We start from the raw sequence: 16,068 nt of genomic DNA on the forward strand, positions 1-16,068 counted from the left end.
GGGAGGGCACTGACTTGGAAGGACAGAACACTCACCACTACCTAGCCTTCACCCTGGTCATCAGTTGCACTTGATATGGCTATAGCTGGTATATTTCTATAATGATGGGAATCATAGAAATTGTTAGTATTGAGTTGCAAGTCATTGGTAATGTTTTCCAAGGAATGACCAAGTTCTGTGATAATATATGCACAGACAGGAAAAAATACAAATAAATTTAACAGCACATATAAAAATACTATCACCTTATACTGTTCATTTTGTGCCATCCAGGCATGTAAGGGAGAGAGAAATAAGATAAATTTGCTGGTGGGAGAAGCAAGCAAATAGAGAGAAGTTTAGAGGCAAAGAATTTGGGAGGGGCTGGTGAAAAAGAAGGGGAAGGAGGAAGTACAACCAAACTCCAAAGGGTAAGTGGAATTGCTGTAAGAGAGATTTTCTTTTGAATAAAAAATGCAGGTACCTTTTAAGTACAAAAGGAATAGGAAAAGAAACAAAACACATTGAAAGGTACAATTAACCAAAAAAGGAGGCAGAAGGTAAAAAAGACATAAAATGGACCAAGACTATATCAAGTAACTTTAAAAATGTTTCTTTAAAATTTTGTTTTGGTAGAGATGGGGTCTCACTATGTTGCCCAGGCTGGTCTCAAGCTCGTGGGCTCAAGTGATCCTCCTGCCTTGGCCTCCTAAAGTCCTGAGATTGCAAATGTGAGCCACTGTGCCTGGACTTAAGTAAGTTTTAATTTAGTGAAAGATTTCTGTTATTTTACTTCTTATAACTTATTCCTTAGAAAAAGGTCCCAGAGTTATGGATTCAGTGACCAAGGAGCTACTCAAAAATAGTTGCCTTCGAGAAGACTTGAATTCATGACATCTTCCTTTTTCAACTTAACTGGTTTAAGCAAGTTATTTAAAAATTGCGCCACAGTGTATAATTTCCCCCAAATTTCAAATTCTGTTAAACTACTTCGAGGAACTGAGAGTATATTTTTATGTCATCTGCACACCAGAGTAATTTGTGAAGCCCTGGAAGGGAAATGTGATTTCTGATGGTATCTCAGCTTGAAACACATGAAGCGGAACCAGAGGTCACGCTCATAACCTATCAGGAATTAAAGGAAGTGATTCTACTTGAAAGACCCTAATGTATGTTAAGACTGAAGGAGACAGGTCCCTCCCTGGCTGGGGGAGAAAGGAAGAATAAAGGTAGAGAGATGGCCAAGAGGGAAAACAGTTGTACGCGTTGTGCCTGGGTATGTGATTATCCTCTTGTGCCCTAAGTTGTGAATCTGGATGTCATTGATATCCTGTTCCAGCTTCCTCTGAATCCACTAAACTGTTGAAGCCAGGGCTTGCTTCCTGCCTCAAACTCACAGTGTAGGTTAATACACGTTTTTATTGGACTGGGATCTCTCTTGCTACCAAGGCTGAAAAGAGCAAGCTGAGGAAAGATGAAATTGACCCTCCGGCAGGCTGACTCCAACCCCAAGGAACACCATGCTGCGCATTGCAGCCACCACACAGACCGTGCCAGGGAATTCTTCCTTGGCAGCAAGTGCTCGCTTTTGATTATTTGTTTGAAGAGCATAGGCTGGGTTTGGAACTAGTTGTCCCTTCTGTGCTTCGTTAGATCCTGTGTCTATTTCTTTGACCGCTTCTCATAATATCCAGTCGCTGCTGGCTTATTGGAAGGCAAGTAACCAATGTGCCTTATTAAGAGTATGGCTTCTGGAGCCAGCCAGCCTGCATTCACATACAGGTACTAGAGGTGTGGCCTTGGGCAAGTTACTTAACCTTTCTGTGGCCCAGACTACAGAATGGAGATAATGTCTCCTAGAGCTGCTGTTGGGATCAAGGTTAATATGTGTAACGTGCCTGAAGCAGTGACTACAATATTAGCTGTTAATATTATTATAAATCTATCTTTTCCACAGGAATGTGGAAAAAAGGAAGGCAAATTTGTATATCCAATCCCTATCATAATAGAATATTCAATGCTTCTTGAATGTTAGAGGATAGTTTTGGTAGATTTGGTTTTAGAGCTCTGACCCACTATTCACTCATTTATTCATTTAGTCCATTACTCAGCAAATGTTTCTTGAACTCCTACTGGGCACTGGAGATCTTGGTAAGTGCTGGGTATAGATGGCCAACCAGAGGAAGAAGATTTCTGCCTTTAGGGGTTTTAGTGGTAGAGACTATCATAAATGAATAAAGACAAGAATAAATTTATAATTACAATTTAATTACTTTGAAGGAAAAGAGTAGAGAGCTATGAAAGAAAAGAACCTTTTGTTGTCTTCAAGTCCTGCTGTACAATGGTGAAAAATGCAGGAAGATAGAAAAGAAATCGCATATGTGCTCCTCATATCATTTTAATAAGTATAGGTGATCAAGGTAGAAATGTCTTTATGACTGATCTTTTACTGGTCCTTCTTATGCTTCGGCTCAATCAACACATAATGCTCTCTGATGTCCATGGCTGGTTAGCTCATTTGGTTAGCTAATGAGGTCAAGGTCAGAGGTCAGCATGGGTCAGCAAGCTTTTCTCCTTTCTGTGGCCAGATTGCACTCTTAACCTCAGCCATCTTGCAAAAGTGAACATTTGGTCATAGGAAGCCTGGGTCAAGAGAATGTGGATGGAGGAGTCCCAAAATTACCACAAATGCAAGCCTCATTGATCACAGGTGTCTGTTGGCATTTTCTTACACTAATGATAGCATGCTACATTTCATTGTTCTCTGTCACTGGAGTACTAGTGCCATTTTTGACCGATGTAGCCAATGATTTCTATAGTTTTTTCCCCAGAAAGGAAAATGCCATTTCAAAATAATCAAACCACTTTTGAACATTATCTCTGATAGAGGGGGTGTTGTAGAGTAGAGCAGTCTATTTCTGGTAATAATGTAAAAATCACTTGGGGGTCTTTTTACAAGGCAGATTCTGCTGCAATAGGCCTGGGTAGGGCTAGAGATTCTGTGTTTCAACCAACTCCCAGATGATGCTGTTGCTGCTGATCCACGGACCACAATCAGAAGAACATGCAACTAAACAGACAATAGTAAATCAAAGCTAAGTCAAGATTTTAGTACAACATATACCAAACCAAGGCATAGTGAATGTGACCACGGGTACCACTTGGTGGAACTGTTTATTGTTGAGGACAACTCATTGTTTATAGATAAGCTCTCCCCAAACAATGTTTCTTTTCAGTCTTTTTTTTTTTTTAAGTGGCATCCTGTTTTCCTGGGAGGGGAAGCATAAGGAAGAATTCAATATACTTGCATTTCAGAATATATTAGCTCCAGCTCTTTGAGCATTATACACACACGCACACACATATATATATATAATGCTCATATATGAGCATTATATATATATATGTAATGCTCATATATATATGTAATGCTCAAAGAGCTAGAGTTAATTCCATGTTATGCAACATAAAATGTCTTTGAAACACACACAAAGCCTTTGTTTTATGGAGATTATTTTAGCTTTATCTTCCGCTTATTTCACTGTATGTGACAAGTGTGGTAAAAATCTTTTGTGTCTTGTGTATTTATTTTTTTGGTAACAAAAGGAGACAGCGCCTTTTCCCACTGCTCAGAAGAGGCCTATTCTCCTGCTGACATGTCTGCGTCACTCCTATTGATGCTATGATGATCATGAGCATGAAGTTGCCAAAGAAACTGCTTCTCTGAGGAAATTTCCATGAGTGTGAAATCATGGGAATCAAAATTGATGGGAAAGTCCCTCCGAGAGTGTGAAAATTGCCAGGATTCTTATAGGAAAAGAGCTTATGATCATCTCCTTCACCATTTAGTCAGATGCATTTCTATTGCCTTTGGAGAAAATTGCCAAGCTCTGTTCAGTGCAAAATGCTTCATTTTTCTTCAAGTACTTTGGGTGGATATATGTTTGTAAAATTCGGATTTTCATAGTTTATTTAGTCCAGCCCCAGCATTCGACAGGCAAGGACACCCAAGAACAGAGGAATGAAATGACCTTAAGGTGTGACCTACAAGTTACAGCCAGAACCAGGATACAAACCAAAGTCTTCTGCTTCTTTCTATTGTACCTCCATGCCTTGCACCCAGGGCAGAAGCTGAAAGCACATCAATTTGAAGAAAAGTTTAGGATTGGCACATATCTTTGTTCCTCAATTTATTTAAGCAATTAATAAATACTCAATTAGCTACTATTGTGTGCCTAGCACTGTTTTGCATAACATAAAGTAATTTAATATTTATTCATTAGTTCAGTTTTTCTGCTGGTAAGCTACTCAGAGATGAGTTAGGCGCTTTAGCTGTTTATTATAACAAACTTCTGCATGTTTAAAACCTCCACCACTTTTACTCTTCTGTCTCATCCCCCTCACAAATCAGTGGCTAAGATTCTTTCCCAAGTGCCTCTTACATCACTTCTTTCCTTTCTTCATCTGCTTGTCTTGAAGGAAGGCCTTATTACCCAACTGCCACTCTGTGGTTGAGGCTTGGAGTCCCTCCTCCCAGGGATCCCCTATAGCCCTGACATTCTTTTCTCTTTTCCCTCAAAGCATTCTGTTTTTGCTGCCCTGAGTTTGCTAGATAACTGAAACTAGTTTACTATGATTCCCTTAGTTTCCTTCCTATACTTTTTGATCTAGACTCTTCCAATCATCTCCTAATTAGTGCTCTTGATCACAGCTTTTCTTCCTCCTATTTGTCCTACACATACCTGCTAAATCTATGTTTCTACAATGTGGTCATTTGCAGACATGGCCCATCTTGCCTGGAACTGCACCTGAAACACCACAGCGGTTAATAAGTGTCTTCCTCTTCTTTTTCCTTCTATCCTACATATACCAAAGCTGGGGGAAGAAGTCTGTAGTGATTCAGTTTCCATATACGTAAATTGGGGGTAATAATAATACTAATAATTTCTTAGGGTTGTTGTGAAAGTTTAGCTATTATTATTAATGAGAAAATGCCAAGCTATGAAGTAAATTTTATTTTCTTCTAATATTTGGTATCATTTCATGTATGCTAGTTTTAGTTATTTTTTAACCAAAAGGTAAATATCTTGAGGAGAAGACAATGTGTTGCCTGTTGGGCTTCCCTTTGAAGCCCAGCAATTGCCTAGTATGGGGCTGTGATCTCAGTGGGTATCAGGAGTGTTGTTCATCTGGGTTGTGCTCATGCTGGCTACCAGCCAGGGTCCAGGCCCCTCCGTAAGGCATCTGTTCTGATAGGTCAGTGCTTGTGCCACGTTGGTTGACAAATACTTGCACATCACCCCTGCTTGACTGAATTTATGGTAACTGGAGTTTAGCCTTGACCAACTGAAAAAGTTAAAATAGAGGAAACGTATACAGGCTTTGACTTTCTCCCTGCCACCCTCATAATATGAATTGTGTATTAAGAATAAGTTACAATGTATGGTTTGAATCCCTCTCATGGCCTACCTTACTTCATTGTGACTAGGTGTTTTTTTTTTTTTACAGTCTTGCTCTGTTACCCAGGCTGGAGTGCAGTGGCATGATCTCGGTTCACTGCAACCTCTGCCTCCCGGGTTCAAGCAATTCTCCCACCTCCGCCTCCAAGTAGCTGGGATTACAGCCGCCCACCATCACGCCTGGCTAATTTTTGTATTTTTAGTAGTGACAGGGTTTTGCCATGTTGGCCAGATTGATCTCGAACTCCTGACTTTAGGTGATCCACCTGCCTCAGCCTCCCAAAGTGCTGGAATTACAGGTGTGAGCCACCATGCCCAGCCTTATGCCTAGGTTTTAACAGAATATTACACAGAGGGTAGAGGGAATAATCGGAGAAACACAAAGAGATGGCAGAAGGCTGCAGGAGCAAGGTAGACCTGGATTCCCACACTGGTTGTAGCCAGCATGCACTCCTGCTCCGGCCTGCGGATGGCGCTGTGAGTGGAGCCCACACTTGGGGACCCCAGCTGAGGAGGCATTTCACAATGGTAATAGTATTTATTTATTTTTTTAGAGAAGGTCTTATTCTGTCACCTAGGCTAGAGTGCATGATCACGGCTCACTGCAGAGATCAAGGCTCACTGCAGCCTCAAACTCCTGGGCTCAAGCCATCCTCCCGCCTCAGCCTCTATAGTGGCTGGGACTACAGGCTCAGGCCACCATAACTGGCTAATTTTATTTTTATTTTTTGTAGACACAGGGGTCTCACTTTGTTGCCCAGGCTGGTCTCGAACTCCTAGACTCAAGCAATCTTCCCACCTGGGCCTCTCAAAGTGCTGGGATTACAGGCATGAGCCACCATGTAAAGCCTGGTATTGGTATTTAAAAAGCCAGATAGCATATTGTTATCGTCACGCATTCCTCCCTCATTAAGTAAGGATTTCTATCAAATAGCTGATGTAAGAACACTCTTTGTCCATGTTACACTGTTGAAGAAAAATAAACTCATACCTTGGGATGTTTTTCCTTTGAGAGGAGACCCCTTCCAGCTTTTACATTAGGAGAAATTGCTTCTTAGTGTGATTTGAAATCTCTTTTCCCACTTCACCACTGAATTTCCCGGAATCCAAACATGATGCTGAACACAAGGATATGGGGTAGAGGGTGGTGAGTTACATGTAACTCTCTTCAGCGTTTGGGGAATCCCAAAGACTTTGTGCTGCCTCCGCCCTCTGAGTTTTGGGAGTTTGGCAGACACCTTAGAAAACCTCCCTTCAGCCCTCAGGTTTGAGTTCCCTAGCAACGGCAGCCTTAGAAACTTGAGAGAGAGGGATGGGTGTTGGGGGGATGGTTGAGAAAGAGATAAGAAGAGATGACTGAATAGGCCTGGGATTTTACGCGCAGTGCTTAATTGAGAGTGAGGGGAGCGGGTGGGAAGGACTGCTCAAGCCCGCCGCCAGTGATCTCATACCAACCAAAAGGCAAGCGAGGGCCTGGCTGCCAGCTGAAAGGAACAAAGGCGGTAGGTGGGTGGAAGTGGCGGAGGGAGGCAGACAACTCGTAAAGGCTGGCGAGGCCCAGAGTTCTGGCCCTGGGAGGAAACGCATCCCAGCCTACAAAGGCTCCGGCCCGAAGAATGGCCTGGCGTGTAATTCAATGCAGGCCCAGTGACCACACTGGAGTTGTAGCCTTTTGTATTAGCGACAACAATGGAGGGGGAGAAATCAGGCCACAGGCTCGCGGTGCAGACTGGCTGGTGCGGATGTCTTGGCCCTGGCGGCAACGTGAGCTGCCTGTCAGGCCGTTGCCCGGCAACTGGACGCCGCCCGATCGCGCCTGCAGAGCGCACTGAAAGCCGCCGCAGCCGGGTTGAAAGGCATAGCCGCGTGGTTCACAGGCCGGTCCCGGGGAACAGGAAACAAAGGACAGGGAGCTGAGGCAGGGATTGCGTGGGATCAGGAGAAGGCCTCACACCGTGCGAGGGGGGACATTGGGAACCCCCTTTTCTCAAGGCCCTGAATTGGTGCTCTATCTTAGCCCAGCGCGTGAACTGCTTGAACAAATACAGCTCTTCCTCCATCTTCAAGTTCGCACAGCATTCCTAGCCCAGATGTTGTATTCCATTGTCTGCCTATTGTGTGAAAGACATAAATAACCCCAGACAAACAACAAAAACAAACCTTGTTTAAGTGTCCAGCTGAAATTCATTTGTGAGTCAGGAAAATTTTCCAAAGTAGAACCTACCATGCACCTGGTGGATAAATAGATGGAGGCTCACCATACGAAAATACATTTGTTAAATGTAGTGTGGTTCCTGGATTGCATCGTGAAATTGGAAACATTGGTGCTATAAAGCCTGTCCTTTGGTTAATAGTAATGTAACAACATTAATTTCTTAGTTTAGACCCCGAGTCAGCAAGCTTTTTCTGTAAAGGAGCAGAGGAGATACTCTGGGGCTTGTGGTCCAGATGGTCTGTGTGCCACTACTCAACTCGGTCACTGTAGAGCTAAAGCAACCAGACAAATATATAAAGGAATGAGCATGGCTCTATTTTAGTAAAAGTTTATTTTTAAATTTATCATTATTATTTTTTTGAGACAGAGTCTTGCTCTGTTGCCCAGCCTGTTGCCCAGGCTGGAGTGCAATGGCAGAGCTCACTGCAGTCTTGAACTCCTGGGTGCCAGCAATCCTCCTGCCTCAGCCTCCAAAATAGGTAGGACTACAGGCACACTTCACTGCCTGGCTAATTAAAAAAATTTTTTTTTTGGTAAAGATAGAGTCTCACTATGTTGCCCAGGCTGGTCTCAAACTCCTGGCCTCAAGTGATCCTCCTGCCTCAGCCTCCCAAAGTGATGGGATTACAGGTGTGAACCAACTTGTTTGGCTAAAATTTTATTTATGAGCACTGAAATTTCAGTTTCATATAAATTTTACATGCCATGAAGTATTAGTCTTCTTTTGATTGTTTAACCATTAAACATTTAATACTCTTTGCTCTCAGGCCCTACAAAAACAGACAGTGGGCTGGATTTGGCCTACAGGCTGCTACAGTTTGTTATTCCCTGGTTTGAACAAATGAACCAAAGTTATGTTAAATGTTAACATTAGGAGAAATTGATGAAGGGTATACAAAAACTCTCTGTACTCTCCTTGCAACTTCCTGTTCATCTAAGGTTATTCCAAAATAAAAAGCTGGTTTTAAAAAAGTATTTAATTGGAAAGCTTTTTAGATGGAATGTTTAGAAAGAGATTTGTTGTTGGGGGAGTAAATCAGGATTTGGGGTGTGTGTGTGTGTGTGTGTGTGTTTTGGAGACATGAAGGAATGTTTTTCTTGTTATTTGTTGACATATGGTACTAAGACCTCCCAAAATGAAACTCCTTGCTACACCACTGTATTGGTAATCAAGCCATTAACATCAAACAGCCTGAAAACAAAATAGCATTCCAATTACACAGAACTCTTTGACCCTGAGGGTTAGGCGAACAGTTTCAGCTCACAATGAACCAGGATGGGAACACTGGAACAAAGAATTAAACTTTTTGCTCCAATAGGAAACTAGAAAATTGTCGGCCAGCTTATTTTTAACTGCACGTGCGCGCGCGCACACACACACACACACAGACACACACAAACACACACAAACACACACACACACACACACACACTTCCGGCTAACATCTATGCCAAACAGCATACACAAGACTTTGATTTACAAACCAGGATCTATATTCTTTTCCAGATTTTACTAGTTGTGTGAATACAAACTTTCCTTTATGTTTGTCCAAAAATAGTATGATATGAGACCTACTCCTTGCTTTCCTTCAAATTGAGCTCTTAAACATTATATCTTAGGCTGGGCACTACCAGTTATTAAGAACGGATGATGATTAAGATCTAGAGACCTGCTATACAATTTAGTAACTATAGCTAACAACACTATATTGTGCACTTTAAAATATGTTAATAGGACAGATCTCATTGCAAGTGTTCTTACAAAATAATAATAATAACAAATAAACACAAGGAAATTTTTGGAGATGATGGAAATATTACATGCTTTGGTTTTGATGATAATATCATGGGTATACGCATATGTCCAAACTCATCAAGATGTATACATTCAATGTGTGCACACTTCGGTGTATCAATTATACTTCAATAAAGCTAAAACAAAAAAAGGATGCTGAGACAGTACACGGGGGCGCTTAAAGCGCTCCTACTTCCCGACTGCAGTACTAGGAGGGTGTGGGCTACGGTAGAAAGATGGTATAAAATCTCACGGGTAGCTAACTGTTGTAACCGTGGGCATGGTGGGCCGAGGGAAGCTCAGTAGTGGGTTGATGCTGAAAGTGAAGGAGGGACTGGTGCAGTGTTCCTTGACAAAATGTGAAGCAAATGGAAATTTGATTTTAGGAATTTTCCATCACCCCTGCTTTCTAGTTTCCTTCCTATTCTCACACTCTCAGCAACTCCACATTTAAGACTTTGACATCTCAATCAACATTTTTTTTTTTTTTTGGAGACAAGGTCTCAGTCTGTCGCCTGGGCTGGAGTGCAGTGGTGCAATCATGGCTTACTTCAGTCTTGACCTCCTGGGGTCAAGCAGTCCTCCCACCCCAGCCTCCCAAGTAGCTGGGACCACAGGCGCATGCCACTACACCTGGCTAATTTTTTTTTCAGACAGAGTCTCACTGTGTCACCAGGCTGGAGTGCAGTGGCGCCATCTTGGCTCACCGCAACTTTCACCTCCCGGGTTTAAGCGATTCTCCTGCCTCAGCTTCCTGAGTAGCTGGGATTACAGGTGTGCACCACCATACCCAGCTGATTTTTGTATTTTTAGTAGAGACGGGGTTTCACCATGTTGATCAGGATGGTCTTGATCTCTTGACCTCGTGATCCACCCGCCTCAGCCTCCCAAAGTGCTGGGATTACAGGTGTGAGCCACTGAGCCCAACCCACCTGGCTAATTTTTAAAAAATATTTAATAGAGAAGAGGGGAGTCTCACTATGTTGCTCAGATTGGTCTTAAACTCCTGAGCTTAAGCAATCTTCCCACCTCAGCCTCCCAAAGTGCTGGGATTACAGGCGTGGGCCACCATGCCTGGCCTTAATTGGCCTTTTCAGTTGGAGATGTTTCAGGACTCATTCCTTCAACAGTTATTATCAAGCATGGACTTTCCTTGTGTCAGGTCCTGGGTCAGCACCAGGGATATGAAGATAAATTAAACATGGCTTGTAGCCTTGAGGGTCAAGGGGCTTGGAGTGTAGACAAGGTCAGGTTCTTCAGTGTGGTTGACGAACACCAGCACCAGAATCACCAGGGATCACAGAAAGACAAATAGTGCATGATGGCACTTACATGTGAAATCTAAAAAGTTGAACTGAGAGAAACGGAGAAATAGCGGTTGCCAGGGGGTGGGGGAAATGGGAAGATGTTGGTCAAAAGGCACGAGCTTTCAGTTATAAGATGAATAAGTTCTGAAGACCTAATGTACAGCATGGTAACTCTAGTTAATAATCATGTATTAGATACTGGAAGTTTGCTAAGGGAGTAGACCTCAAGTGTTCTCACCATACACACAAAAGTAGCTTGATTGTGGAAATCGTTATAAAGGTATGCTTATGTCAAAACACTACCTCGAATGCCTTAAATATATGCATTTTTAAAATGTGTTATTATACTTCAATAAAGATTAACAAATCATTTTAAAAAAAGGAATCGCTGGGGAATGTTTTATTTACAAATGTTGCCTGCTGGGCCCACCCCACAATTGCTAAATCAAAATCTGCACAGGGCAAGGGAATCTGTATTTTAACAACTCCCTCAAGTGAATATTTTGCTCACTAAACAATTGAGATCCACTGGAATTTGTGAATGGATGTGAAATATCTTAGGTATAATGATGATGTTATGAACTGATTATTACAGAAGCATAGAAGGGGGTGGTGGGGTAGGATCAAAAGGGAAGTTACCTAAAAATGATACCTGGGGCCGGGCGCGGTGGCTCACACCTGTAATCCCAACACTTTGGGAGGCTGAGGTGGGCGGATCACGAGGTCAGGAGATCAGGACCATACTGGCTAACACGGTGAAACCTCGTTTCTACTAAAAATACGAAAAAATTAGCCAGGAGTGGTGGCGGGCGCCTGTAGTCCCAGCTACTCAGGATGCTGAGGCAGGAGAATGACGTGAGCCCGGGAGGCAGAGCTTGCAGTGAGCCGAAATCGCGCCACTGCACTCCAGCCTGGGTGACCGAGCGAGACTCGTCTCAAAAAAAAAAAAAAGAAGAATCAAAATGACACCTAAGCCTATTTTAATGAAAGAGAAGACAAGGGTGGGGATGAGGGTGAGGGACAGAGTGATAAAGGGAATGGGGGCAGGACACAGAATCCCGAAGTGTCTTTCTGTAGCTGGAGTGTAAGGAGAAACCCACATTTCCTTCTGTAGCTGGAGCGTAAGGAGAAAGGAGGAATGAATCACTGATGGTGACTTTCAAGCACTGTGATAGACAGTGGAAAACTCATTCTGAGCAAGGGATATTTCTTTCTGTCGCTCTTGCCTCATTATAAGTTCAAGTTCTCTCTCCGATAAGGGGCTCTGGTTTTTGGCAAGGACTTGGCCTTTTCCTTCACATCATAGTTTCTATAATCCATGCACATGGAATAAAAATGTGCTCCATGTCAAAAGATGATACCAGATAAGGGCTTATCAGGTCATGCAGACCACTCTGCTTTTCAGACTCAAACATCTCAGGAAATAGAGATATCTGCTTTTATCGGAGTAGGGCTGTAAACTCTGTGATGTGCAATCAAGGGAGGATGTATATTATCCTTTGGCACTTTTAAAAGAAGGCAGGCAATGCCTAGATTTTGGGGCATGGTTCTGAGGTAGTTCTGGTAAAAGAATGTGGCCCTCTCTGTCCCCCAACCTCTATTTATGCTTTGCCCTGTCATTGCATCCTCATGGGCATTTTTGTCTTCTTCCAATGTTTCTTTTCCTGGACTTCAACAGGTGGCCTTGGCATTGCAAGCCTTTGATTCTTCTGAAAACAGATGATTACGTGGTGTGGTCAGCCTTATCTTCTTTCCCATGGTTTTATGTTTCCTTCCAGGTTGATCTGGTTTCTTTGACTACCCTATTTTAGGAAGGAGACATTTTGCTTGGTAAAGCACATGAATTGATGTAGCCAGGACAGCTAATCTAGACAAAACACACACACACACACACACACACACACACAGACACACACAGACACACACACAGAGAGAGAGAGAGAGAGAGAGAGAGAGAGAGAGAGACAGGCCTCCCAACAGCTGCAGAGACTATTATCTATGTTGTTTTTCATCACTGGCTAGAGAAGAAGCTCAATTCATCATCAAAATAGTTGAAGTCACTTGAAAAGTTAGCATTTACCATTTGGCTCCTAGAAGAGAGAAACATTTGTTTTGTGCTAAAAGTGACTCTTTGTGTCTTTCAGTAGGAAGCCATGGCTTTAGGTGAAAGCAGAATGGTGACCACTTATATAAAGGTAGACAGTAGGGTGTTGATGGGTGGAGAAATACCAGAGTGAATAAATATACTCTTATTTCATTCCTACACATCCACCTACATAATCATTTCCACGGAGCAGTGGTACAAAAAATTAAAATAAAAAACTCCAGCTCAGCATATCTCAACCTTGCCACTATTGACACGTCAGGCAAAATAATTCTTTGCTGTGGGGGCTCTTCTATGAGTTGTAGGATGTTTAGCAATATCTCTGGCCTCTATCCACAGGATGCCGGTAGCAGCCCCAAACACCTTCTGGTTGTGACTATCAAAAATGTTTCCAAACATTGCCAAATGTCCTCCGAAGGGCAAATTGCCCCGTGTTGAGAACGACTGTTCTAGTAGAATCACTTACCACGTTAATAAATCAAGCAGTATCCAAAGTATTTACGGTAGCGATGGGAGGGCAGGATGTTCCAGTGGCTGCATTTTTGTGTTTGGTAACTTTCATGGACAGATCAGGCTTAAGTGGATGTGGAGCATAGTTTCACCCCAAGAATGTGACAGTCACAGCTGCAAGCTGACAGTGGAAAGGAGCAAATCCTTTTGGATAGGATATCCTGTGAGCATAATATGTGACATTCATCGGTTTTCAGAAGTGGCTTTAAAGTTTTTTCTTCTTCTGAAGCTTTGTGTGGTTGCTGTCTTCAAGCATAGAATTTTAATTTTTCACAGTTCATAGGAGATGCAGGAGAAATCTTCCTTTCTCCCTGTATGTAGTCTGTGGTTCTCCTCGACAATATGCTGGTATCCATAAAAAAGAAAAATTCAACTTCTAATTTGTGGTATTTGATTTTACCCAGAGTCAGAGAATGTTCCATAGTCCAAGTCCCATTAATCTTATGGTGAAAATTATGTTATAGTCTGGTACATCCTTCAGTAGGAAATTCCCATGGTTCCAGGCCCCCAGGGCGGGTCCCTGTGCTGATTTTGGAGGAAATCCACACTGCTTTCTCCAAACTGTGTTAAGCCTTTCCTTTGCTCTTATCAGGCTCGCTCTGCCCTTTATACAATAAGGCCCAAACAATGAAAAAGCCATGGTGAGATTTAGATGAAAAAAATCACAAAGGAAGGAAATTTGAATTACTGCTTTCACTCAAGCTCTCATTCAACGGGTCCTAGCATTATCAAAAGATCAGGGAATCATGTTATATATATATAATTATCTATAAATATGCTATTATAGGCTTATGTTCTTAAAATATCTCAATCTCTGAACTGCCAAGTAAAAAGTTCCAGAGTACTAGTCAGAATGTCTCGGGGATCTTGGAAATAAATTATGGGTACGCTCATAATTAAACTTAACAGAAGGAAGTTAAGATTGATAGTGACAATATCTTTGTTCTTTGATCAAATTTAATTTTGTCTAGACATTAACACCATGCTTAGATATCCTGACATCTTTCCATTTTTATATTGTCATTATAGTGGGATACGCATGGACATATTGACATTAATATGTAGAGATCAAGTTGCTTTCATCTTTGCAGTACTGTCATTAGTTAAGTTTCCTTTAAAGCAGCAGTTAGTCTGTGTGAATTTTTTCTTTTTTATAAGTCTGTGGTAAGTTGGTGATTGTAGTTTCACTCTATTCTCATGAGTGTAACTTAACACTATTGGGTTTACCCTGGCATGTGAGATAGTCATAATAACATTAACTTCAAAATCTGTAGGATGAAATCTAGGGTTTGAGTTTCCCTAATCCTTTGCAGAGCTGTAACTTAGCTGGAAAATTACATTTCCATTGAACATTCTATAATGCTCAGAGGCACTGCAATCAATGAGCGTGAAAATGCCAAGCACATCCCATCCTGACACTTCTTATTAAGCATAGAACATTCTTGAGTGAAAGTAATATCACAGAGTAATTTGGCTATTAAGGCAATAATAGCATATCTTGTCCTGGTGATAAATTTACCTTTTGTTAACAGTTTTTCTCCCCCATTTTAATAGCTGCATTAAGAACGGTGCATAGGAAGTTTCTTGGAACATACTGCCTGTTCCATATTGGTTTTTTTCTATCTGATTCTAACATTATGTCAAAGGCTGGATGACATAGTTCTATTCTTAGAGCTAGCAAATCCAAAGATTTCAAATCAGTATTAAAAAGAAAAACCTAAAGACTTCTTCAGTAAGACCTATTGATATAGTCCAAGTGTTATTCCATAGGTGGTAGGATTACAGGTGATTTTAAAAACTATTTTTCTTTGTACTTATCTGTTTTCAAATTTTTCTGTAATTGATATATATTGTTGTGTATTTCAAAAGCTTTATTGTAAGAGGGTTTGTGGATTCAGCTTCACAGCTATTTCAAACTACTCAATTACAGAAATATAGTATACTTTTTTATCCCTTTTTTTCAAAATATATTTTATTTTAGTTCCTTGTTTAAAACTGCAAAAGGCAATATTTTTACTCCTAAAGCTTATGTAGCAAAGAAAGGAGCAAGTCGTTCTTAGCTTTTGGTTTAGGATATTCCTAGGGAGATGTGAGTGTATTATGTATTCATTTAAGCATCCCAAGTTGATCAAATTGAAACAAATGAAAAAGTATATTATGCATTCAGCGGACTTGCTTTTTTAGGATAGATATGCTTGGAATATATTCAGATACATTCCTGATAAGTGTTTTTAGTTTGATTAAATATGATCACATCTACACAAAAGCAGCCCTATATTGTACAGCTATGAGAAAATCAGCACAACTACCTGCCACTCAATTGGCTCTGAACTTTGATGTTCTTTCACTGCATCTATTATTACCCAGTTTAAAAACTAAGAAAAGGACAGGAGAGAAAAAACGAAAAAAACATAGGTAGGAAGCAAAAATGCATATTAATAGTCAATTAGTTAACAATTTCTGTTTGACTTATTTATAGTCAAACAATGTACGTCATTTGCCTGAGTGATGAATTTCCTACCAACACAGTATCTGACATACAGCAGGTACTTAATAAATATTTGTTTTGAATGAATGCATACATTCATAGAAGTAAAATCATCATAATGAATTAAAAAATGTAGAACTTCAGAGAAGGGAACTTTGACTGTGGCTTGGAAAATTTTTACCAAGGAGATAGAAATTAAGCTTGGAATTGT

At 41.2% G+C, this 16,068-nt stretch overlaps 1 annotated feature.

The window, feature by feature from the left end:
* Positions 1,230 to 1,349: an enhancer, noted in NCBI's record as "active region_16581". NCBI's record gives its function as "activates an Ori minimal core promoter by ATAC-STARR-seq in GM12878 lymphoblastoid cells {active_cell/tissue: GM12878}" and the evidence as "EXISTENCE:reporter gene assay evidence [ECO:0000049][PMID:35858748]".

This window comes from Homo sapiens, chromosome 2, assembly GCF_000001405.40.
Source record: "Homo sapiens chromosome 2, GRCh38.p14 Primary Assembly".
In the NCBI taxonomy this organism is placed as follows: Eukaryota; Metazoa; Chordata; class Mammalia; order Primates; family Hominidae; genus Homo; species Homo sapiens.